Here is a 26,771-nt window from a genome sequence, read left to right on the forward strand (position 1 = left end):
CTAATTTTTTTGTATTTTTAGTAGAGACGAAGTTTCACCGTGTTAGCCAGGATGGTCTCGATCTCCTGACCTCACGATCCGCCTGCCTCGGACTCCCAAAGTGCTGGGATTACAGGCATGAGCCACCGTGCCCGGCCCACCTTAGCTATTCTTGAGCCTTTCACAGATATGTTTTGTGGCTCGCTGGTCCTGGGAGATACTACGTGGGAAAAGGGTTCCATAGTCTAATATGTTTGGAAAATACTGTATCTTATCTACTGTCTTGGAGAATCCTCATGCACATTATTATATCAAAGGCTGTGAGAAGTCCTTCAGTAAAGAAACTGATTTAACTTTCTCTCATCTAGCTTCCTTCAAATATATTTGAATCTAAGCATGCCCCTCCTGTATGCCTGATGACCATCTACAGAACTATAGCAATCTGTAGAAAACATGTTGGGACACCAACAATGCCACTTCCTTTTTCACAGGGGACACTTTGTGTTTTGGCCACCTGCCCAAACAGTGCCTGGGAGGACTCTGGAAGACTTGTTCTTGGTTGAGTTGGAAAATTAGCCCCAGTCTCCTGTATTTGTGTTTGCTGCCCTTAAGTGAGGCCATAGCATAGAGTCAGGTAGGATGGGCAGGCACAATTCCCCACAGCGCTTTTCACACCACTACAGCCCAGTCTTGGTTCTTGGAACAGGAAAGGGACAAGGCATTTGAACTAGACACACATGGATGGTTGCATGAAGCCCCAGAATTCCTGGTCAGGGAGTTCTTACAGACCCTGGTCCTGGGCTTCATTGGTTGTTGGAATCCCCTCTGCAACATAGTATCTGTGGGTCCATGCCACAGGGGTCCACTGGCCTGAAGTTATGGCACTAGGAAGAAGGCATCTGAAGGCGGCCTCAGGCCAGAGCCTGCTGGGAGCAAAAGCCGAGCTCTCCCAGTCATGTTGAGCTGCTACTTTGAGTAGTCCTGCACATCAGTCTTCACCAGGTTCTCAACATTGACTGACTGCACATGAGAATCAGCTGGAGAGATAAAAAAATCCCGATGCTCAGACAGCACCCCAGACGTATTCAATCAGAATGGGGTGGGGATGGGAAGCTCAGGCATGAGTAGTTTGTCAAGCTTCCCAGGTGATTGTAATGCACAGCCATGGTGAGCAGATGCACCAGAGCCACGTTGGGAGAGTAGGTGTTGTAGGAAGTGGAGGTGAGCAGGAATTCATGGCTCTACCCTGGGCCCAAGCACAACTGCATCTATTTGCCCTTGAGAAGCAAACAAACCCATGGTCCTGCTTGGGCAACCCTTGGCAGGGTTGTGGCAAACCCCTTGGGTAAGGAAGTGGGAGCATCCTGCTGTGTTCAGATCAGAGATGAGGAGGATTGCCAACATTCTTGAGCATCTACTGTGTGCCAGGCACTGTGCCACACATGGCCTCATTTAACTCTCACATTCCCTCACGAGCTAAGATTTCCATTAGAGGTGTCGAAACTAAGGCACAGAGAGGTTATGGAATGTACCCAAAGTCACAGCGATATTCTTAAGTGATAGAGCAGTGAATTGAATCCGGGATGTCAGAGGTGAAGAGCTCTCCGTGTGGTACTGGTGAAGGGCTTGTTGTTCATTTGGGCGGAGTCATTTGTGGGAGGATATGGCTGGGGTCAGCAGAAGAGGTTTCTGTGTGTGTGTGTGTGTTCACTGAATTTCAGGGTTGGAAGTGTTTTTCTGTGGGCTGAGGGGAAGGAGATGGGACTAAGGAGAAACAGAATCAGTCGGGTATTGGAGCCAGCTCTCACATGCAGATTATGCATATTTCTTCCCATCTCTGAGTTCAGTGACATCTCGTTGGAAGCTTGAAACCAGCCAAGTGGGAGTATTTACACCACAGAAATTGGCAAACACTACAAATCAGGTGTTTATTTATTTTCTCAGAAAGTTGGCTGTTAAACATTTACCAGCACGCCACTGGAGGGAACCCAAATCCTAGGCCCAGCTCCTTTGGATTAAGGAAAGGGGGAGAAGATTGGGCCCAGAAAGAGAAAATTGAACAAGAAGCTGTTTGTACAATGGAGTAAATAGTTGCATCAAGGGAAATGAAACAAGAGAGGGGAATGAGCTTCTGTGACTTGGGGCAAGACAAGAGGAGCATGATTAGTGCTCAGTAAATGTTTATTTGTCTTAAAATTGGGATTATTGAAAAAACAGCAGATTTAGCCGCAGTAGAGACTGGGATAGAGATGAGGAAAAGGCAGGGGCCATTTGTTAAAGATCTGCAGACTGCCATGGAAGTTTTGCCACACCATGGCTAGGAGATGAGCTCAGAGAATCAAGTTGCAGCTTGCAGGTCTGTGGCCAGAAAGTGATGTGTAAGTCCATTTCCTGAGGCTGCCTCATGGAGGTGGGAGTGGACAGAGGCTCCAGCAGTGAGAGGGTTAAACCAGAATAACAAGGGGGTGATTTATCTCAGCCCCAACATTCCCTTGCTCATGGCTCTGACTGGCCCTGCTTATGCTCCCGGGTTGCAAATTTACCTATTTGTCAAGTCCCTCTCCACAGCCTGGCTCTCTCTGGCTGCTTGTGTGGTTTATTAAAGAGGCCTTTGCTACCTGTCATCTCAAACAGCCTCCTTTATCCAAAACAGAATAATAGAGATATCTCCCTCCAGGGACGCAGGATGCAAATGCCCGAGGACAGGTTGCCAATTTGCTGCGTGTATTAGGGGAAGGAAGCTGTCAAGGGAAACGGCCGGGATCCAGGCTCTTCTAACAAGCTCATTTCTGGGTTGAGGGGAGACCTGGGCTGCTCGAGTTTAGATTACGTGGGCACACGCCTCCGCTTTCCTATGGACAGCTGTCAGCAGCAATCGAAACAAAATTGGCTTTCTTCCTTTTCCCCTTCCCCCGCTCGTCCTCAGTAGCAAGGCCCTGCCAATAACTGTCAAGAAGCCATCCAGCTGCCGAGGTCGCCTTGCCCGCACCGCAGCACGCCCTGCTCTGCAGTGGGTTGGGCCCTGGTTTACAGTCTGTGGAAGTATGTCCTGGCTGGCGCAACCTTGTTTGCTGGGGGCCGAGGGGAGAGGGGTTGTTTCCTCCTCCCCTAGAGAGAGTTAATCAAAGAGGGAATTCTGTCCTGGTGGCACCTGGGAAAGATGTTCCTCCTGGCCCTCATCATAGGGGGATGCGAGGGCCTCCTTCCTGCCAGGAATCTTCCCACGACAGACTTTGGTTTGACTCTTATTCACCTTACAAAAGAGCACTGCCCTGGCTCTGGGGCCGGTGACCTGCCTCCAGGATGGCTGGGCAGCGAGAGGACTCAGGCACAGAGAGAAGGGTCTGGCATACCCACCAGACGATCGCTTTATCTCCTCTGCTCCTCACAGAAACCCTGTGCAGCCTGACCCCACTAATTTCAGAAAAGGAAGTTGCGAACCAGGGGCCTACTGGAAGCTGGTTAAGGGCCAGGCTCACAACTTGAACCCAGGACAGGACTGTTTCATTTCCTGCAGAAGATCAAGGCCTCTCTGGCCACCCTTGAGGGTCCTGCGGGGTCTCCTGACCGTAGGAAGGTGGTCTTGGTTGGGTATGCACGTGGGACCTTCTGGGTCCCTAAGAGCTCTCATGACCCACAGGTTCCCTGCTCCCCACCATGTCCTCCACTCCACTCCTGATGCTGCCTCAAGACTGAGGTCCCCAGGCAGGGCAGCGAGTGCCCAGAGGTGTTCCATGAATGTGGCAGGGGTTTGTCCTGGAGCTGGGCAGAGGTGACCTCAGAGCTTGGAGACACCTGCTGGGGCTCATGCTGCAGCTGGGGGGCCAGGGCTGGGCCAAGGAGGGCAGAGCCATGTGGGAGACTAGCTTAGCTCAGGGTCTTCCTTGATTGGGAGCCAGACAATGCTTTGGACTCTTTAAAATGAGCCTCAGAGTGGGGTTCAAGGCCCTGTGGGGCAGGCTGAGCATCTGTCTTTGTCAGGGAGGCCCCTCTGAGCCAGGAGCACCACAGGGTTGGCTGTTGCTTTTGAAGGTTTGATTTCTCTCCAGTCCTCTTACTGCACCTTGTTTTTGGCAGATGCTCAATGAATTCTTATTGCTAGACTGCCTTACTCCTTCCTCTTCCCTGGTGGTGTTCTCACCTGCTTGGGGCCTCTTTGAGCCACCTACCAACACTGATGGCAGGTCCAGCACTGCACATGCCTAGCCTCCACTTCCGTCACAGGTGTTCTAATTTTCTTGCTCACCTGTTGCAGCCTCTTCTGTCCCAGCTCCTCTCCCCGACGCTGATGGCTTAGCCAGCCCAACCCACCTCCCCTGTTAACATCCCCATTTTACAGATGAGAAAACCAATCCTCAGAAAGGTTAAGATCAGAGCAGGATTTAAGCTCAGGCAGTCTGACCTCAAACAGGAGTATTTCTCTTTCTGGTAGGGCTACATGTTGGGGGTGACAGAGGTTTGGGCTTAGGGGTGAGGACTCTGTCAGCCTGAAGGTCCTGCCAACCTTGACAGTCTTCATCATTTGGCTGTTCTGGGTGTCAACTCCTCTGTGAAGAGAGTCCAGGATGCTCCCCTGTAACCCACAGCTCAGAGTGCCTGGCAGGGAGAGGATAGGCTGGAGAAGGAAGGCCTGCCAAGCAGGAGTAAGGGGGCCCCCATTCTCTGAGGCTGGCTTTGCTGCTCTGGCCCAGCCCCATAGGGCTGCTGTGCTGGGGCTGCCCATTGATGGTGCTCCAATGCAGGAGGCCAGGCAGGGGCTCTGCATCGGGCTGGCCAGCCATAAGTAGGCCAACCTGACATGGTCCATCTGCACTCCATGGCAGGGTAGCTGTCCGACCACCAGCCCAGAGGCAGTCGATGGGGAGGCCAGAGGCCTCGGAGTCCAGCTGAGGTTCGCAAGGCCACGTGCATCTACCCAGAGTTCCTTCCATGGGCAGTGCATACTCCCTGGAACGCACCATCAGAAAGGCAGCTTCTAGGGTGAGGGAAAACCAGCCCAGGAAGGAAAGATGGACTGGTGGGGCCCCACACCCAGATGCCATCAGTGTGCTTGGGGTTATACCACAACTTGAAATGGACCTGGGGTAAGTACGTCACTGCTTCTCTCTGAGCCCCAGTTTTCTCATCTGGTGACTGACATGTAAGCAACTGCCAATGCTTATTGAGTAAAGAACAAATCTGTAAAGTGAGAGTTATGGTAGTTCCTATGTCAGAGGCTTGGGGGGAATTGAATGAGATGAAGGATGGAAAGCACCTGGTATGCAGTAAGTGCTCAGTAAGTGCAGGTGGCCCTTCTTTCTGTAGATGGGGCTGTAGTCCCCTTTCCCCTTTCACAATGTGTCTTGCTTGTTCTAGCTTCCTCTCTATCACCTGGGCCTCTGCGGCTCACTCTAGAATACAGACTGTAATTTCTCTGGAGGAGATTCCCTAGAGCAAAACTTAGGGACGTCTTTAAATAGACGTGAGAATGCCAGTGCTGGAGAGGCCCGCAGAGGCAGCATGGAATGGGCATAGACTGAGGAGCCAGACAGACCCAAGTCTCATCTCGGCTCTGTCAGCTGCCAGCTTTGTGGCCTTGGGGTGCCCACCTCCCCTCTCTGAGCAGGCTCAACAGTTCCTGCTCCTTGGGGCTCTTGTAAAGTTGAAGTGAGTCTTTGTCAAGTGAAAAGCTGTGAGTATATTTGTTAACATATGTGCAACCGTATTGGGAAAAGCTGCATCATTTATGATCTTTTCCAGTCTTCTTATTTTGCTGAGGGGGCATCTGGGACCCTGAAAGGGATGGGGCTGGCCTGTGGTCCCACAAGAAAGGAGCGAGAGAGACGTGGGGCTTGGATTGTGAGGCAGCCTTTTCTTCCCACGTGCTCTCCCTGCCTCTACTTTCTGCAAGCACCAGGAGGTAGAAGACAAAGGTATATCCACAGCTATTAGCATCCCCAGGGTCTGATGTCTGGCCCTTGCCAGTGGCGACTGCGTCCTCTTTGTCTGAACGACCTAGTCTTTGAGCCAGGGCCTACATCGAGGTCCTTCCAGACACCCTAGAGGCAAAAGCAAACCTCTCCCTCATCCTGCTGCTTTCTTTAGGGCTGAGAAAGCCTGGGCCAGCAGATGCCCTGTCAGAGCCTAGGGAACCAGGCTTGGCTTGGGCAGACGGCATCTCGGAAGGGCTTGTGCATTTAGGGAAAACCAGCCCCAAATAACTCCCAGATTCAGTCCTGAGCTATGCAGGTGAAGGCAGGTAGGAAATTACAGCCACTTGAGGCTTTCTCTCCCAGCGACTTGATTAGAGCTGAGGAGTGTTAGAGCTGAAATAGCTGGGAAAAGTGCCCTTTGATATGTTCATTTGGTTTTAATTTGGGGGGACACAGGGCAGCACCAGCTTATTTTATTTCTGCTTCCTTTTAGTGGCTTTCACTTGGCTCCTATCCCCCCATTTTCACCCCCTCCCCTGCTGGAATTTGTGAATTTCAAGGTCAGCTGAAAGTCAAGCTTTACCATGTTGGTGATGAAATGCAAGCAGATGTGGCTCGTTTGGCGGATGGTGGCCACACCCTGAGAACTGTGCTCAGTCCTGTGGGTGATGCCTGGCAAAATTAACAAAGTCTGATGGCTTACAACCCTGGGTTTCCATCTCGGAGATTCAGATTTCAAAGCAAGTGCCAATCAGCATGTGTTTATCTAGGGGAGTTGAGAAGTGATGCTGGCTGGGGAAGGTGTGGCTGCCTCATCTTGGCATGCCAGCTACTGAGAGCAGTCGGAATGGGTGCCCGCACTTGGGTTTGGACTCTGTCATGTGGTGTTGGCTTTGCTGGGGATGTTGTCTGCTGGTCCTTCTTGCTAGGGAGAGGGACTGGTGGATTTTCCAATGCTAGTTTCATATCACATGCCCATCGAGTTGCCCTCTTCTCCTTTGCAGCGGGTTAAGCCATTGGCGAATGCTTGCCATGTGATGAGCGCTGTGTTGGCAGTGACCTCAGGGAGAAGGTCAATTTTCAGCTCGGCTTCCTGGCATCACCCACACCCCTCTGTGACTCAGAAAGTGGCCCAGCCGGCTGCCTCCAGCACTCTGGTAGACCTGTTGGGTGGTGCAGGGGGAGAGCTTTCTGATGCCCCAGTTTCTTCTGGCACTTCATCAGATGCCTCCCCTTGGGCTTTGTACAAGGTCTCACAATGCCCCCTGACTTGGGTCTTGGTTCTACTGACGCACTGTGGCAGTTTTGTCTAAGGTACATGTGGGAATCCACCCTCCTGGCAATGTGCTGGGATTGACTTACTAGGAAAGCAGGGAGACCCAGCAGCCTTAGGTTTCTTTCTCTGTGTTCACCAGTTCTTCCCAGTCCAGCATCCTGTACTCTCTGCCTTCCAAAACCTAAGCACAGGGCAGAGCAGATGCCTGCTTGGCCCAAGAAGGGGATGAGCTTGGGAGCCCACGCTGTGTTGGAAACCCAGCTCTCTCTCTAGTCAGCTCTGGGCCCTTGGCCAACTCCCTTCGCCTCTCTAAGCCTCAGTTTCTTTGTCTGTAAGAGGGGATAATGGTGCCCACCTCACTGAGTTGCTGTGAGGATTAAAGGAAACGGTGCATGTAAAGGGCCTGGCACAGTGCCTGGCGCATGGTGCTCAGTAATGTTCGCTATTATAGCTATCGTCCAAATCCTGGGAGAGCAGTCCGAGAAACAGTGTGGGCAGGGACCTACCCAGCTCCCCTGTGGCCTTCGGGGTTTCGTAACTTCAGAGCCCAATTACCTGGTGTGCCCCTCAGCTGAGGAGCTCAGCCTCCTCCTCAGGGTCCTTGCCCCAGCTCATCAGGGAGCAGAGACAGATGTGGCTGGGGAGTGAGACTGAAATCACCCTCTCCACCCTGCCTTTTTGAGTGGCAGTGTGCTACAGAGAAGTGACATTTAAAAAAATGTTCCTTAAATTGAGGAGTTGTCCAAAATGGAGCTGGTTTCCACAGCACAGTCATTTTTGGATAAGAAAGCCTAAAATGAGAAATTTCTGAATGCAGAACAAAGCAGAAGAGCCTGCCACAACAGCACATGTGAGTCAGCCCGAATCCCCTCACAAACAGCCTGCCTTGTTAAAATCAGTCCCTTGGTGCGGAGGGGATTAGCGCTCTGCAAACTTCCCATCCCAGGCCTGCCTGCATTTTTACTTTCCCTGCTGCACGGTTCTTGCTGATCTTCTTCCTTACACACCCAGGGGATTTCCCCACACATAATGGGGGCCACTCCCATTGCTAAAATGATGGAGAGTTTTTTCTTTGCTCTGGCAGGAAAAGAGTAACTTCTGCTGGAAATACAGAGAGGCAGAGACATTAGCTGCAACAACTCCCCCTGCTTTGTTCCCTGGGTGTTTTGGGAAGGACTGCAAAGAGCTGAGTGAGGGTGCCTTGGTGGGGAGGGTCAGGTCCCTCTAGGTAACTGTGTAGGACTCCCAAGGGTCATTTTTGTTCTTCCTCATCCTCCAGGAAGTGCTACCTGCTTTACTTACTCTGTAGCATTTTTTTTTTTTTTTTTTTGAGATGGAGTCTCGCTCTGTTGCCCAGGCTGGAGTGCAGCGGCGCGATCTTGGCTCACTGCAAGCTCCGCCTCTCGGGTTCACGCCATTCTCCTGCCTCAGCCTCCTGAGTAGCTGGGACTACAGGCGCCCGCCACCATGCCCAGCTAATTTTTTGTATTTTTAGTAGAGATGGGGTTTCACCGTGCTAGCCAGGATGGTCTCGATCTCCTGACCTCGTGATCTGCCTGCCTTAGCCTCCCAATTCTTTAGGAATTTGTGAGAGTTGATGGGCAGAGTTGGAGCTGCCACTCTGGGGCTCAGAGTATCAGGGCCCTCCTATTGCATAACTCTGGGGACACTTTGCATGTGGCACCCCTGGGTGTGTGCAGTCTGAGGAGCTGGTTGGGGTTGGAGGAGACATCTATAGGATCTGCTGTCTGCCCACTGTCCAGGTCACCACCTGCTGGTATGGCTCATGGGCTCCAAGAAGTATGTCTAAGATAGAGCAGGGAGGCCACACCCAGGAGCAGGTTCCTGTCCCTCCACCCTAGTCCAGCCCCCTGCCCGCCTCTGCCCCTGCCCCTGCCCCATGGTGCTTTGGGCTAGCTGGAATAAGTCTGGCCAGCCAGCTGGCCTGAGTTCTGGAGCCCAAGACCTTGCTCGCCCTGTTGGCTGGGCCCCCTCAAGCTTGGGCCGCTCATTATTTCTCCACTGGCGGGGGAGTGGGAAGACCAATTATCGGGGCCTCACCGCCACGCACTGCCTTTGGATGCATTTTCTCAAATGGCGAAACCCTCTTTGGGGAGAGGCAATTTGTTGGGGAGCTCAAGGCAGTGTAATTTATGGGTCCCCTCTTGCCTGGCTAGGAGTGAGGTGGCTGTGGCTTAATTTAATTAGCTGGATTGAAGCCGAGCAGATCACCAGAATGGGCCTGGAATTCTGGTTTGAAAGGCATATTTCTCTTCAGAGCAAAGCATGGCAAGAGGAAAAGGTCTAAAGTTACTTCATTCATTTGGATCCTTTGGTTAGAGATGTCTTCCAGCTTGAAATATAAACCCACTTATTTTTCTTAAGAATCCAGCCCACCAGCTACAGTATTCTGTTCATGCATTTAATAGCAATAATTGAACAGAGCTCAAATTATCATAACCTAATGCTCTCCAAGTCAGATCCAACTGTGTCACATTTTTCCTATGGGGAAGAGAGTATATTTGGCAGGGCAGAGAGAAGCCGCCAGGGTCATGCACTGCAATGTCCTGTTGACTGAGTTTTAGTGGGTGCAGCCACGAGGCTGGGGACCTTGAGGGGCTGTGAGAAGGGGGCCAGACAGCAGGTGCTCCCTAGCTGTGATCCATAGCTCTCAGCTGGGCATGGCTGTCTGGATTGTAAAAGGACACTCAGGGCAAGAGTGAAAGCTAGAGCTGGAAATGGCCACCAAGTGCTAATACTTTTGATAGCAGTAACAGTCATAATGATCATTAGGGCAGCCCCCTTAATTTACAGTTGAGCTTCTCAGAGGCTGTAAGATGGCTTTTGACAGGCCCTGGATCCAGATTTTTAGCCTTCTCAGACAACAGAGGGAAGGCTCCAGGGTTGCCATTCACAGACAGACTCTGGAGGGGACTGGGAGACCTCTGCCATCAGCCAGCTGATCTTAGGTAAGCTTCTCTGAGGCTCAGTTTTCACATGTGTAAAACTGGGATTCTGCTCCCCTGTTCCCCCCCCCACACACAGAGTTGGTTTGTGACACCAGAGAGAGAATTAATGCAGGGGAGAGGGCCCCCCGCAGATTGCTGCCAGGGTGTCAGGATCATCAGCCCAGGGGACACTCACCTGTGAGGGGAAGCTGCTGGCCTCAACCCCAGCATCATTTTGAGCTTCTCAAAATGGCCAGCATGATCAGGATCACCAGAACTGGGGCTTCTGACTCGGGGTAGCCTAGATTTGAGCTCTGGGGCTTTCCCCAGATATGACCATTGTGTGGATCTTGTGTGGCAGAGCTGAGCATATTGTGTTTCTGAGCTGTTCCCCAGTGGTTCTTGTTCTCCCCAGCTTGTGGAGGCAAACCTTCAGGTGAGTCACCTGTGAGAGGCATTGGGCTGTGTGAAGGGAGGACAAGAACTTTTCCAGCCAATGTGCCCCAAATAGGAATTCATTCCCGGGGCCTTATGTAAGCTCACCCTCTCTCTCTTTTCTTTTTTCTTTCTCTCTTCCTTTTTCTTTCTGGAGCTCCAAGCAAAATTGCCAGGAAATCCATGCTAGGTTTGGTGATGGTGCTGGGGCTTCCATGTGGGGTGCTGGTGACGGTGTCAGGGCTTGTGGTGGCAGGTGCTGGGCACACAGTGGACACCATCATCCTCACAGGGCTGGGCTTGGAAGCTCAGGGTGTTTGCCCAACGCCATCAGAGAAGCTGGGTCTAGTCTATTGTTAGCAGATAAAGCAATGACAAAGGCAGCGAAAGTGTTCCGGGGGGTCATTTTGATCTGTCTCCCCCAAGGGGGATTGCTTGGTTATCCTTTTGTTATTTAACAAAGCAAATGGGGCCTCTGCTCTTCAATCACAAACTGTAATGTTGACTACTTCAAAAAAGCAGAGGGAATATTATTCCAATATTTATCTTAGCACAAAACTAACATTTCAGGGCCTGTACCCATAATTCAAATGTTGATGGGGAACACATTGTGTGAATGTGGTGCAAATATAAACAACGGGAAATTGCTTATATTTAGTAGGGAAAGATGAAGTAAACATTTTTGAATAAAATGGCAAAGACTTGGTTCTACTAGTTGCAGTTTCTCAGTTGAACATATCTAACTGGCACTGCTTAGGAGTTATCACGTGGTCTGAGGGTTCAGCGAGGGTTAAGGTTAAGTTCTTATTATCAAGATGCCTCTCTGAGCCCAAGTCCTTGATTTCCCGTCCCTGACGTGCTGGGCACCGGCTGGTCTAGAAGCTAGTCTGTGGCTCTGGGAAATTCAGTGTGGTTCCTTTCTCTCTCTCTCTTTTTTCATATTTTCTTCTACTCAAATGCTCATTAGTGGCAGAAGCCCCTATAAAGGCACATGGGAAGGGAAAAGAGGCCCCTTGTTAAGGGCAGTTGCCTTCCAGCTGCTTTATAAGAGGCTCACCCAACCCAAAGTCTATGTGACTCCCTGAGGGATCCCCCCCTTGGAAAAGGGAGGTTTGGGCCCCCGTGGTCTAGCCCTAGGAATTCATATGCAGTGGAAACCTCCACTGCTGGTGGCATCTTGCCTCATGCGAGGAGGGCCTGCAGGCCTTATGTAAACACTCAGGTGCCTGTCTGTACAAATGTGGGGCCTCGACACCGGCAGGCTCTGTTTCTGTTACTACTTCAGGGTGTGGACATGTGGGCACTCGCAGTTCTTTCTGGCGTCCTCCAGCCTGTGTATCTCCCATTGGGGAAGTGGTTCTGGGAGTGTTACTTGCACCGCCCACAGCCCCATTCCCCTGGCATGATTTGTTGGGTGATGAGCCTATGGTGGGTGGAGATGGGGTCTCTGTGATGCTGCAGGCTGATTCCTGGGACTTCAGTTTCAGTTCCTAAATGTGTCTTTCTTGTAAGGAGATGGCCCTTGTGACTTCTCCAAGTGGAAAAATGACACTTTAGGTTTGTCCCCATGGCTCTGTTCATGATCACCATCTTGTTTCCCAAACTTTCATTTCCTCATTGGCTCTGTTCAGTTTTTTGTTTTGTTTTGTTTTGTTTGAGATGGAGTCTCGCTCTCTCGCCCAGGCAGGAGTGCAGTGGCGTGATCTCGGCTCACTGCAAGCTCCGCCTCCCGGGTTCACGCCATTCTCCTACCTCAGCCTCCTGAGTAGCTGGGACTACAGGCGCCCGCCACCATGCCCGGCTAATTTTTTGTATTTTTTTTAGTAGAGATGGGGTTTCACCGTGTTAGCCAGGATGGTCTCAATCTCCTGACCTCGTGATCTGCCCGCCTCAGCCTCCCAAAGTGTTGGGATTACAGGCGTGAGCCACCGCGCCTGGCCGGCTCTGTTTAGTATTTTCAAGGGCTTCCAGAGATAAAGGAACCACATAAGCCTTGATGTCTCCTTTTCCAGGGGACAGAGATAAAGCAATACTCACTGAGAGGAAGTTCATGGGGTGGGAGGGGCCTGAAATCTCACTGGTTCAATTCAGGAAACACTGACCAGGCACCAGCTGTGTGCCCAGAGCTGTGTGATGTGCTGGGGTGGGGGCAGGGGCAGGGGCAGTGGTGGGCCCAGCATAGAAAGAGGAGAAGTTAGGTCAGCTGTGGTTTCTAAGATGTCACATGAGGAGGACAGAAGTTAGGATCTTACTTTGAAAATGCAGAGGCCATTTGTTGTAGGGGCTCTACTCTGGGGGCTAGTGGTAATAATAATTAAGCTGAAAAATGAAAAAAATATAAAGCTAACACAGTGCTTAGAAACATGCCAGAAAGGGTTCCAGGTGCTTTGTGGCATTAACTCACTTAACCCTCACAAAAAACCTGTGAGGTCAATAGTATTAGACACATTTTACTGATGTCGGGGGTAACCTCTTGTTCAGGGTCACACAGTTAGGCCAGTGGAGCTGGGTTCTGACCCCAGGCAGTCCGACTCGAGGGGTATGGGCCTTTAACCACTGTGTTAGTGTAAAGAAGGCCCCAGTACTGAACCTATTCCTTCTGCAGCCTTTTCCCTGGGAACTTGGTGTTGTGCTGAAGACTCTGAACTGGATGTTTTCCTTCTGTGCCCAGGGATGAGCATGATAGTGTTTGGGGCTGAGAGAAGAGAGCGGGTTGGGATATGATCTGCCACTCTCCAAACCCGGGGCTGAGCAGGCTTTCCTCTCAGGCAGGGTCTGGGATACAGAGCCGTGGGCCGCACAGCTGCTGCCTGCTGTCTAAGGAAAGTGTGGCACCCGCTCTTCCCAGCCAAGGCCAAAAGCCTCATCCTAAGGTGGGAGGCAGAGCTGGGGCAAGAGTTAAGTGACTGAACTGAGGCCACTCTGTGCCCTCCTCCTGTCTTTTGCAGGAGCCACTCTGCAGGAAGTAGGTGCCATTGAACCCTTCTCCCAAGCTAATTCTGCTAATTCTGCTCTCCTTCAGCAAGCTTTCAGAGTCGGGTTCTGATTTTGCACCCCTGCTGCGACCATTTTGTATTCCTATCTTAAATGCTGGCAGACAATCTGGCTGACTTGTGTCCGAGAAGCAGTTGGCCGTGCTGGGATTGTGACCCCAGTGTGTGGTGTATTACCCCAGTGAGGAGTAGATGGACCCGGCCTGGGACAGGAAGGAGGAGAGAGGCTACAGGGGTGTGTGATGGAGGAAGACGTGGTGGTGATGGAATGAGACACCAGTTTTGAGCATTTTCTAATTTGAGGCATCACCCAGAAAACCTCCAGATCATAGGAAGAGTGTGGTTTGGGGACATTTGGTTAAAGCAGATTGATTCCTCCTCGTTGGGGAACGTACATGTTGGGGTGTGGCTGTTGGGAGAGTTCTAGTGGGGCAGGGAGATGGAGTCCTGGCGAGAACTGCCGCCTGGAGAGCCTGGGAAACGAGGCTTGCTGGGAGAAGGCAGTTGTTGAATCTGAAGAATAAAGCAACACACAAGGACATCAGTGTGTCTGGAAATGTGATAAATGTAGAGCTGTATATGTAACATCATTTGCCTTTTTTTCTTACAACTTAATTATATTCTTCCTCTTCTCAACAGGGTTTTGGTCTTCTCTAGGAATAGCACAGGGACGTGTCACATGTCTGGTAGCCATCTGGTACCCAGGGAATGACTTGAGGGGACCCCTGTGTGATTTCTGAGCCAGGAGGCAATAGAGAAGGAAAAAGGAGTATCTGGCAAAAGCTCCCATTATTTGTTTCCGTCGGTTGCCAGTTGGTGCTGATGACGGATGTAGTGGGTGCCCTTGTGTGTGATGTGACACCCGTGTCTCAGCTGTGGAGGTGGAAAGGTCAGCTTGGGTGATGTGGTGACTGGCCTTCAAGGCTTGAAAAATCACCCGGACAGAGGACAGGCAGAGGCAGCTCATTTTAGGTGTCCTTCAAGAGAAATAAAAACTATGCTTGGCTTATCCATAGAATCATTTCCTGATGCCATGGAAACAGCCAGAGGGCAGGGCATGTGGTGGCGAGACCTCCTCTCGGGGAGGTGTTAGGGCAGGGCTGAGGGGTAGCCCTGTCCCCTCTATCCCCTGTGTCTCCTCTGTCTCCTTTGTCTCTGTCCTGCACTCAGCCTCTGTACTGCCAATCCCCTTCAAGGCCCCAGCAAAGGGCAGAGCATACCGGGCTGTGTTGCATTAGCACCTTGATTTCTCACTTTGTCTCTGAGCTGCTGGGCCAAGCGCCCGTTGTCTCTGCTTCCTGGCTCTTTTCTCCTTCTGGACTGGTCCTCCCAGGGCCAGAGTGATGATGGGACCTGTGATGGCTCCAGGCTTTTCAGGGCCACCCTCTGTCACCTGGCCTTCTCCTCACCAAGGCAGGGTTTTCTGGACTGTGGTTTGTGTACTACCAATAGTACCCCCAATGACTCTGGGAGGTCCTATGGGGAACTTTTTTGAAGTTAATAGTTATGGTTGTGTTTGATGCCTATTAGAAAATGTTAACCAACACGTGAGACCGTGTTTTCTCAGGTATTGGAACCAAGGATGAGACCCCAGGTCTGTAGAGGCAGCAGAGGACGCTGGCAAGAGCAGGGCTCCGGGGCCAGACTGCCTGCTTCAAATCCTGGCTCTGCCACTTATGGATTGTGAGGCCTTGGGCTTACTTCCTCTTCTTGTCTAACTTGGGGATAATAATAGCTCCTACCTCCTAGGGCTCTTGTGAGAATTGAGTTAATGCATGTGAGGCATTTACAAAGTGCTTGGCATATAATCAGGACTCAGTTGGTGTTAGCTGTTGTTATTACTGTCATTAAAAGTATTTAAAGAAAAACATTGAACAAATCATAGCGCAGGCTGGGCGTGGTGGCTCATGCCTGTAATCCCAGCAGTTTGGGAGGGTGAGGCAGCCAGATAACTTGAGGCCAGGAGTTCAAGACCAGCCTGGCCAACATGGTGAAAGCCCATCTCTACTAAAAATACAAAAATTAGTCAGGTGTGGTGGTGGACACCTGTTATCCCAGCTACTTGGGAGGCTGAGGCAAGAGAATCATCTGAATCCAGAAGGCGGAGGTTGCAGCAAGCTGAGATTGCACCACTGCACTCCAGCCTCGGCGACAGGGTGAGACTCTGTCTCAAAAAGAAAAAAAAGCATAGTGCACGTGGCCAAGCCCACAGTCAATGTTCTTTCTGCGTAGACAATCCGGGTGTACATATGACCCCAGTGTAACCCCTGCCACTTGCTGTCTATGTATCCTTGGGAAAGATAATCTTAGCTGGCTCCTCAGTTTTGTCTCTAATGGGGAATTGTAATACTTCACTTGTGGAGTTGCAAGGTTAACTGAGGCCCAGCTGGGATAGTAACTGGCACATAGGAGGCACTCAGTGGTAGCTATTGTGATGTTATTGGCATTGTTGGTACTGCCACAACCACCCTGTGAGCTCCTGAGGGATGGGACCACGTGTAGTCATCCTTGGTGCTAAACAGGCCCAGAACGGATCTGTTTGGAGCCGAGAGGCCCACCTTTGCAAGGGAATTGGTGCCTTCCAAGAAGGTACAAGGCAGATGGGGGATCCTGCCTAGGGAGGTCAGGTTGCTTTAGGGAGAGACACCTGAGGTGGGGCCAGGAGAAAGATGGTGTTGGGACTTCAGGCTGCCTGGAGCCTGGAACCCCTGTTCTGAGGAACGTGTGAGAAGAGAGGGGCAAAGTGGTTATTTGAGTCTGCGTTACCCTGCTTAACCCTAGTGGGCCACAAAGGCTCCAGCCTGCCCTCCCAGGGCCTAGTGATGTGATTTGTGAATTGAGGTTAATGTCTGCAGGGCCTGAAGGGTGCCCTTGCCACCATGCCCTGGGCCCCACAGCTGAGCTCTTTGTTCCCAGTGGGAACTGGGCTGACACCCACAGGTAGAATCCTCTGTGAGGCTGGCAGCATGGCTAGCCAGGCCTGCTTTTGGAGAAGACAACTGAAAGGAGAAAGGAGAGGCTTCTGGAAGCCTCATGTGGGAAAACCTACCAGGTCTTACCCTACCCTGATGGAGTTGGGGCGGCGGGGGCGCAGGGTTGTTGGGGATGCTTGCAGGGGCAGCAGCACTACCGTGTCCTAGGGCCGGTGGGCATGGGGCTCTAATGTCCTGAGAGGATTAGGAGGGCTCTTTCAAGCATCCTGGAGCCCCCTTGCGGGCGAAGAAAGTGAGGGTTCTGAGCTCTGGCCTCATGTCCCTTGATGGAAGAGGTCTTCATTTGGCTGCGTGCAGAGGATTAGAATGGGGAGTGAGGCCATGGTTTTGTAGTTGTGGGCTCTGGAGGTCTGTTGAGGCCATGGCTGCTTTTCTGGTATTTTTGCCCTTGTATTTTGCTTTTGTGGAAGAGCTTCATTTTAGACCCCAGGCTCTTTCTCTGTTGTCTTCAGTTGGTGTGTCCTCAGTTTTATTCTATAGCTATGTGTGGGGATAGGCAGAGAGTGGCCATTTCTACAGGGGAATAATAGTAATCGAAAGATATTCTTGCGGCTGGGCACAGTGGCTCACGCCTGTAATCCCAACACTTTGGGAGGCCGAGGTGAGCTGATCACTTGAGGTCAGGAGTTCGAGACCAGCCTGATCAACATGGTGAAACCCTGTCTCTACTAAAAGTACAAAATTAGCCGGGTATGGTGGCACATGCCTGTAATCCCAGCTACTTGGGAGGCTGAGGCAGAAGAATTGCTTGAACCTGGGAGATGGAGGTTGCAGTGAGACGAGATCATGCCATTGCACCCCAGCCTGGGCAACAAGAGCAAAGCTCTGTCTCAAAAAAAAAAAAAAAAAAAAAATATATATATATATATATATATTCATGCCATTTACTGTGCATGTCTCTGTGCTTTGCATGTATTTGCCTATAAGCCCCAGGAGGTAGGTGTTATCTCCATTTTACATATAAGGAAATTGAGTTTCAGAAACCCTCAGTGACTATTATTACTACTTGCTGTGATTGTTTAAAGGAAAATGTTACACAAATTAGTAAATGGACTAAAACTCAGGACTTCCGGCCTCTGAAGTCCATGCTCTTAATCTCTTCTAGTAGCCTTTATTTTCTCTTGTTTTTCATCATACCGTGGTACAAAAAGGTAAGAGAGGATTTCATTGCCTGCCTCTCCTGGACCTCATGGCCTGTAGAGTGAGGATGGTGCGTTGAGATGAGGCACTGACTCCTCCATCCTGGTCAGCGGCCATGGGCCCTTTGCTGTCCTTATAGACAATGCAAAGTGTGTCCAACTGCTCGGGGCTCTGCTGAGGTTTGTGTGAGAAGCATTTGTGATTCTGGAAAACTTTCCCTTTCCCAGGATGACCCCAGTGATGATGATGCTCTACCCAGGAGCTTGGCTTGGGTCTGTCCAGAAGGGCTGCTGCTGTGGCCATGGGCACACAGAGCCCTGTCCCTGGCCCAGCAGGTGTGTGGCCTGTCTCTGACTCCCTGCAGCACCTCCCCTGCACCCCAGACATCCTGTGTGTCTGTCCTTTTGATGCCAACTTTGGGGTGCCATGCAGCCATCAAGTCAGAAGGCGGTTGTGCTGTCACAGGGTGACAAGGAGATTTTCGTTCTCCTTCCTCTCTGCTTAGCCTCATTTTGCTGTGCGAGCCTGAACCTTAGGTCTCTGTTGCTTTCTCTATTGCATAGGGATGGAAATTCCTGCCAAATCTGTGACACAGTGTTGCTTTGAGGACTGCTGAGGTTTGTCAGTGCTAAATCTAAAAGGGCATCATGGTTGCCTTTAGACACCACCTGAGAAGGCTTCCCTGATCTCCCTCCTCGTGGCTTAGAGGCAGTGTATCCACAGTTCACTTATACTTACTCTATTACAGTCATCATCACACTGCAGTAAAACCACCAACATGTGAGATTGTGGCCCCACAATCAGAGAGCTCTTGGGGCAGAGTCTGTGCCTTGATCACCATTAATGGCATAAAGCTGATAATTACTCAGTAAATATTTGTTGAATCAGCAGATGATTGGATGAATCCATTTCCAACCCAGAGAATTTGCTGGATGTGCTTCTTAGGTCTTATCCTATCTTTCAATCAGCAAAAGATTCTTTCAAATAGAGGATTGGGAATGTTGAGGAATTGGATGTGATGTTTCCTTAGTAGCTCTATCTGAATAGTCCATAGATAGATCAGGTGTGACTTGATCCAGCACCCAAACTTTCTCCGTGACAGAGTTTAATTCTCCCCATTCCTTGGTTCCCTTAAGTAGAGTTAGTTCTGTTCTCAGTCCCCATATGGTTAAAAGATGGCTGCCGCAGCTCTATCCCTACATCCTATCTTACTCGATCCAGTGGGATAGGTTGAGAATCTCTATCCTAGCATTCCTAGTAGAGGACTGTGGCTCACTCTGATTGGATTGGCATGGTCATGTGCCCTCCTCTGAACTAATTACTTGGCCAGGGGAATGCCATGTACTGATTGGCCTAGATGTGGGACTTGTGCTTCAAGTGTATTGAGATGTGGGAGAGATGGATTCTCCAACAAAATTAGAGCTTTTGCTAGAAGGGAAGATGGATATGGGGAGAAATATAAGTATATTCATCATAGATAGCAATGTATATTTTAGAAAATCTGCGCATTAGTGCATCAATTCTAGGTTCCTTCAGGCTGAAAGGATATTTTCCTCTTTGCTTGTCTACCTGAGCTCCCACGGACCCATATGTGTAGTCTCGTAGTATGTATCTAGCTGCAGCCATATTGCCCCACAGATGCCAGCTTCCTGGCTTGACTGGGACTGGCTGTTGGCACTGGGCTCTGCAGTGCTGTCTGGCTTAAACAGCTCTGAATCTGCATGTGAGATTCATGGGTTGTCAATTTCGGGGTCATTTGTTCCAGATGTCCAGATGAGAAAACCAAGGCCCAGAGAGGTGAAGGCACAGCCAGTTGGTGTCAGAGCCAGGATCAGAACCAGGTGTCCTGGCCACTGCCTGAGCTCTCTTCCTTATACCTTCCCCGACTCCCTGATACCATTTCTACTTTGAGAAGAGATGTTAGAGCCATAAACAAAGACAGGAGGTATATGCAGGAGGATAGAGGACTCATGATGGGAGCTCCAGTAGCAGAATGAAACCCTGTGGGACCATTCTGTCTCCAAGGGCGACCCTGAGCCTTCCTGCCCTCAGGTGCCCAGCTCAGCCTCTGCAGCAGACCTCTGGTTTCTAGAAAGTCATCAGTTATTTTGACCAGCCTTTGCATTTCTCTTCTGTGAACTGAGTGATTAGGGTCTCTAAGAGCAACCATTATCTGCACATCTTGGGAATGCATGTTTTTCACACATGCAGCCCTTCCAGAAAGATTTAGCCTGGGGATGAAGCAGACGGGTTCTACACTGAGGGCAGATACCAATCATTTTTACAATTGTTTGCAACAGGAGAGGAAACATGAGCTTAACAGTTCTGTTGTGGATGGATTTGGGGGAGAAACACGAATGAATTGTCAACAGGATGGCTTCTGCTTTTATCCTGGGATTTGCTGCCGTTCCCTGCAATCCGGCTGCTCTGTGCAGAGCCCCAGGATTTACAGACATTCTTTGCAGGTGGGGGCTTATTGTGAGGTGCAGCCTCGGGCTGGGCCGGCATCTGTGGAAGAAAATCTGTCAGTTGTGTCGAGGAAGGGAGCACACTCCTTAGGGTGGAATTTGGAACAGCCCCCTGTACTACTTCCACTTGGGGGAGGTACCCGAGCAAGGGGCTCAGACCTTAGCGGGCACATACTGGCTTCCTGAGTTGGTGTAAGCCTCCCTAATGTTTTCAAAAGCCCTAGACAGCAGTAACTGAGAGGAACAGCCTTTTCAGACTCCTGCCAGGAAAAAAAAATCATGCTCAGAAATCCATTTGTGGGGAGTTTGAAGTTTGAAGCCCTCCAGCTGCAGACGGGCAGCTTGGGTGGTCGGGCGGGGTGGGGTGGGTGTCCTCGAGTGGAAGGAGAGTGTCGCGTGGGACAGCTAGGGAGTGTGACTAGGAGAGTAGCAGTTTATTTCATAGCAACAGTGGAGTTGGCATTTGACAGACCTAGGTTCAAGTCTTGGCTCTGGCCTGAGCCAACTGCAAGATCTTAGGCAAGTGACTTAGCCTCTCCAGATCTGTTTACTTATCTGTAAAATGGAGACAATAATACCTCATTGGTTGTGAAGAAGATTAAATGAGACTATGTATGTAAAGCTCTTGGCACAGTGCTTGATACAATTAGTGGAAGTGGGGGTTACTGATATTATTATACCAAAGAGATCCCAAAGAAACACAATCCGTGCAAAACTGTGTTCTCTATGCAAATGCAGCCTCCAGACAAGTTCCTAGCCCTACTTCTAAGCAGATGGCCACCTTCAAGCCTCTGTTTATGGAAATTCTGGTGCCATCATGGATTAATGTTGGCGCAGACAATAACATTTCAAAATAATTTGCCACTTTTTAACTGTCTGGCAGATCTGGGTGGAAAAGGACCCTGGATCTATGGTGCATGCTTCTTGGTTCAGGAGAAGAAGGCAGATTGGTAGCTGGTTACATATACCTGAGTAGTAAAAGATGGCACAGGCTGAAAGACCATAGGGAAAAGCAGAAATTGGGGCCCAGAATGGTTTCCCATACCCTACCCCAATAATAATTAGAAAAGGCAGCCAAGGGGAGGAAAATCATTGAGGGCCATCCTTGGGTTTGTATGAGCCTTTGCCATTTTTGTATTCTTGACATGGTTGCTGCCCCTCAGCTGACAGTTCTACCCCCATTTTACAGAAAAGAGATGGCTAAATCGTTTATTCCAGGTTTCACGGCTAGGAAGAAACAGAGCTGAGGCTCAAATTCAGGCCTGTGCCCCGCCCTCTCCAAATACACTCTTTCAGAAACATGCCATGTCCAGGAATGCCAGGTGGATGGAGGGGTGTCCACATGTTAACATTCAGGCATCGAGAGGCTAAGAGATCTCAGTTGGGCGTGGTGACCTGGGCGTTCTTAGAAGATGAAGAAAAGTGCCTGGCAGTTTGGGGTCCCACATGGCCTGGGCATTGCAGGGCCCTGTGTGTCTGTTAGTGCCTGTGGTCCCTACTGCAGCAGGCAGTACTCGAGAGGAGGCACAATTGCTCTAGGAGACCTTTTCCAGCCAATCTCATTCCCACATTCCCTGGGCTGCCACCCTGCCCCACCTTAGGTGGATGAGACGCTGGTGGTCTTTTGTGGTGATGGGGTGCAGGGGTGTTGGGGGAATTCAGGGAGTTGGGATGTGGAGAAGCCGCCTTGGATGAGCACACTGGGGTGGTGGCAAGCTCCTTTCCCGCTTAGTGGCTCCTCTTGGCCACCACATGGGGACAAGTCCCACTGTTACCACTCTCTCTATTTTGGCAGCCTCCGCTTCATGGTACCTATTATGGTTGCAATATTGCTGTCGTTGTCTGGCTGTTTGGTTAACAGTAGTTCCCACACTAGAATGTGAGTGCCGTGAGGCCAGGGCTTGCATTCAGTACTATACCCTTAGAACCTAACACCATGCTTGGTACTCCTTGTTTAATTTATTCTTTCATTCTCTTGATGTTCATATACTGAGTGCCGCTTGTTTTGTTTTTGTTTCATGCTGGGTGCTGTGTTGGGAATGGGGTGCAGTGGTGAGCCCTGCATTCACATCCCCACTCTTTTGGAGTTTAGTCTAGTGGTATCCTGGGAGCTCAAGTGTGCTTGCTGAGTGAGTGAGTGGTTCTGTAAGTGGTCCAGGAGGCCGCCTGGTCAGGACATGGTCACTGAGGCGGAGCCTCTGTTAGCTTTCCTGGGCAGTGGGCGGCGGGACTCCAGGGCTCCCCTCCTGAAGGTGTTCAGGACCAGTGCTCTGTTTCCCTCTGATGAAGGGGGCTGGCGGGGAGCCCAGGGCTCACCAGTCCGACCTGTTGGGGTTTCAGATTTGTTCCATCTGAGCAGTCGATTAATTAGTAACTGGAGCTACCCATCATCCCTGGCTCTTGTGTGAGTTGCTGGGTGCCCCTCTTTCTTCCTTTCCATTTGCTCAAATTGAGCAGCCTGATTCTGTGATATCATTTGAAATGTGGCCAAGAAGCAATTAATGTGCTGTTTGCTGACAAAGATTTGCCGCGGCTGCAGGGGCTGGGGATGGGAAGGCCTGCACAGGATTGAGGAGATGAGAGAGCAAACAAAGGTAGGGGAGGAGGTGCTGCTACTGGTCTTTGCAAGGGTGCCAAGCCCAGGCGGGAGTGGTTCTTCTTTCCTTGAACCTTCTCTCACCCTTCCCTGCCCAGACCCGAGTGCTGCCTGCAGGGAAGGGCCTGGGGGATGGAATGGAATGGGTTTCCTGTGGCCTCTTACGATGACAATTCTGATGGCAGCTGCCAGTTACTGAGCCCTTATCTTGTACGGAGTGTGCTGGGGTCATCCCATTCGATCCTTACAGCAACCCTGAGGGAGATGTGTCATAGGCCCATTTTATAGGCAAGGGCACTAGAAATGACAGGACTGGCCCCAGGTGACCCAGTCAGTGGTGGGGTGGGATCTGAGAGACTGGAAAAGCCTGCCTGTTCAGGCAGGTGCCTAGCAGGGATGGGAAGGGTCAGCCCCTGGGCCCCTGGTCAGGTCATGGTGACTTGTGTGGGGATGAGGGGCTAGATAAATGGCAGCATTGTGTAATTGATGGCTGCCTCTAGAGGGTGGTTAATAAGAACCAGGTGGGGTGGTGCTGACCCAACCCAGTAGATGGGGCAGAGGCCCTGGACAGAATGAGGGGCTGTGGTACGCCTGTCCCCACCCTGCGTGGTTGATGCCGTGGTGGGGCCTGGGGAGTCTTTCAAAAACCCCTGCAGAGGGAGCTTGTCTGATCCAAAGAGGGGGTGCCCATCCTCTATCTCAGTGGCTTGGGCACCTTGTGCTCTGCTTTTCATCTTTCTGAATGGCTTTTCGGGCCAGCCTGTGAGGAGTCCTGCCTGCCCTGACTGTTGACTCATCCTGGGTGGAATTATGTACAGAAATTAGTCAACAGAGGCCATTCCCGGGACCACAGGCAGCTGGCTGCAGGCATTGCGCAGGCGCCGTGCCTGCTGGGAGTGTCTTTTCGGACACAGAGCATGGGCTTCGTGGGTGCGCTTCCAGGGCTGGGATTTCTGCTCATTGCAGAGCCACATAGTTGGAGGCTGATGGCCTAGCCCATTGCCCCATGCCTAGTCTCATAGAACCTGGGTGGGACAGTGAGCTCTGGTCTCTTCCAGCATGCCAGGGAGAAGTGGAGACCCTTGGACTGGAAGTGCTGGCCCCTCCTCACTCAGCCCCTTTCCAAGTACCTCATTGCCAAGCACAGTGTGGGGAACTGAGGATTCGGGGAAAATAGCACATGGGTAAGTTGTCAGCGATCTTGGGGTAGGGGTGGGAATAATCTAACATAAATTGATGTAGGCAGGAGAAGCACTGTCCCATAAGCAGATCTGTGTGTTGATTTCCTTAAAGTAATACAGACATATGGTGAAACTGTCACAGAGTAGATATTACAAAAGGGTATGTGGTGATGAGTGCACCCCCCACCTGTTTCCAGCCATCAGTGTCCCTTCCCAGAGGCAACCACTGTCACTGGTACATCAGCTGTGCCCTCCCAGAGACGTGCTCATTCAAGCACTTAGGGGTCAGTGCTTAAGCGTATATTCCATGCACCCAGACTTTTGCTTTTGTGTACATGCTGAGCTGTCCTGTTATTTCCTTTCAACATTTGGTATATCTTGGCATTCATTTCATATCATCTTATACAGAGCCACCACGTTCCTGTTAACAGCTATATATTAGTCCATTGTATAGATGGACCATACAAGGTTGTTTTTTTTTTTTTTTTTTTTGAGATGGAGTCTCGCTTTGTCCCCCAGGCTAGAGTGTAGTGGCCCAATCTTGGCTCACTGCAACCTCCACCTCCCAGGTTCAAGTGATTCTCCTGCCTCAGCCTCCCAAGTAGTTGGGACTACAGGTGCATGCCACCACGCCCGGCTAAGTTTTTGTATTTTTAGTAGATAGGGGGTTTTTACCATATTAGCTAGGGTGGTCTCGATCTCCTGACCTCATGATCCTCCCACCCTGGCCTCCATATGAGTTTTTGACCAGTGCCCTATTGATGGGCTTTTTGGCTGCTTTCTGTCTTTTGCTATAATAAATAATGCTGCTTGCTGCAGCAAATGTCTCAGTAACCATATGCACCTGGGAGAGATTCCTAGAGGTGGAAATGCTGGTCAAAGTGTATATGCACATTTAAATTGGTTTGATTCTATCCTATTGCCCTGCCAGGAGACTGAGGTGATTTCCTCCCTCACCAACGAGGTACGAGTGGCTTGTTTCCTCATATCTTCACCTACACAAAGTGCTATCAGACTCGTGGATCTTTGCCAATCTGATAGATGACAAATGGTATCTCATTGTGGTTTTGTTTTGCATTGATTTGGTTGTGCGTGGCTCGGTGCAGCTTGCGTGGTGAACACATGTGCCGTCCCCGAGGCGGGTTCAGAAGGAGTGCTGTGTGACTGGCTTGCAAGGCAGGTCGGCACTCTCCAGAGGGCTCTCACCAGTACACATGCACTCAGTGACATGTGCTGAGCGACAGGAAGGGGCAAGGAGACCAAAGGCTGGGTGAGGAGAAGCTACTGCCTGGAGTGCTGGGGAGGACGTGGCTGTGATTTCACTTGTCCATGGTGACAGAGAAACAGAGTAGCCCCCAGACCAAGGGAAGAAAGTGAGGCAGCCTTCTCCCTGCCGTGCCTGGAGGGGAGTCCCACCTGCAGCCAGGGGGATAGATGCTGCATTGTGTCTCAGAGCGTTCTCACCCTTGGGACTCCAGCTAGGGCAGCTGCTTGTGGAACACGACTCCTTTCTGAGTTGTTGGGCTCCAGGCCTGGGCATCCTCGCAGCCCACAGCGTTCTGTGCTGCAGTGCCTACAGGGTGGTACACCTCCTTGGTGTCAGCCCGATGTATGGACCTGCTCTCCCTGTTCCTGGCCTAGTGAGCCATCTCATTAAGAGCTGTCTGTTCTCTATGCTCTGCCTCCTTCCCTTTGTTCCCCATGCCCCAGTGCAAGGGCAGCCCCTCAGCACATCACCCGAGGCTCCTCTCTGACCTCCCTGGCTGCAGTCTCCCCCCAGCTCATCCTTCTTAACCACTACAGCTGCCTTGGCTAATTCCTTGCCCCTTCATGGCAGTTCTGGGTATTGCCCCTCCTGCCTAGCAGGAGAACAAAGGCCAGTAATGGTCACTTCTGTGAGTGGCCCCTGCCTCCTGCTCTGGTCTCCAAATCCAGTCTCCCTCCATATCTACCTACTCACCCTCCCCCAGACAGACTCTGTGCCTTTTGGCCTCTGTGGCCTTTGTTCAAGCTACTCACCTAGACTGGGATCTTTCTCCTCTCTCATTTTCCTCTCCACTGGAGACTGAGGTCACGGGCTCTGTGACGGAGCCATTCTCCAGTGACAGATTTGCTCTCTGCCCAGGGATTGCTCTGGGATCAGTGTCCACAGTTCCTGGAACTAGTAGAGGTGGTGGTTGTTGCAGCAATAATGGCCAATGTGTGTGGTGAGTGGCAGCGGTGAGACTCAGTAATGGGTCTGCCTGAGCACTGGTGCTTTTGGATGCTGGAGATCCAACCTCCCTCTGGAGCAAGGGTTGCCTCCCTACCTCACTCATCAGCTTTGTATGTCTTGCCTGCTGTTGCGGCCACAGCTCTTGGCATATACCCAGCACATGTGTGCACTCAGTAACTGGTGAGTGAATGGACAAGGGGATGATGAGAGCATCGAAGGTTCTGAGCAGGAGAGTGACAGATCAGAGAGAGTCACTGGTCCTGGGTGAGGAGGAACTAGAAATGAGGAATCCATTTCAAAGGCAGTGAGAGAGTCTGAGGGGAGGAGGGCCTGGGTCAGGGAGGACAGTGGGGGTAGGAAGGAGGGGCCCACTCCACCTGATGCCTCCCGGGCCTCTCTGTCCAAGTGCCAGGCACAGTTCTGTCCCAGGCTGGGCCTTCCTGAAGGCAGGGCTGCTGCTTCCCATTGGTGTGTCCTTCTGTAAAGCAGCTCACACAGGCTAGCAGACAGCAGGTGCTCAGGGGATGCTGGCCCAGAGCTGACCTGGGCCGTGACTCCTGTTGAGAACTGGGTGGAAAGGCATTCCCAGTGGGCACTCTGTCATCCTTCCCTCTCTTCAATCACAGGTGAGAGCC

The 26,771-nt window shown here is 51.1% G+C and overlaps 1 long non-coding RNA gene across 1 annotated transcript in view; it reads left to right on the forward strand.

Moving 5' to 3' along the window:
- The window catches only part of PITX1-AS1 (PITX1 antisense RNA 1), a 311,407-nt gene that overhangs the window by 71,166 nt on the left and 213,470 nt on the right, over positions 1-26,771 (forward strand). The gene's annotated exons all lie outside the window — the stretch shown is intronic.

Source organism: Homo sapiens, chromosome 5 (genome assembly GCF_000001405.40).
Source record: "Homo sapiens chromosome 5, GRCh38.p14 Primary Assembly".
NCBI classification, from domain to species: domain Eukaryota; kingdom Metazoa; phylum Chordata; class Mammalia; order Primates; family Hominidae; genus Homo; species Homo sapiens.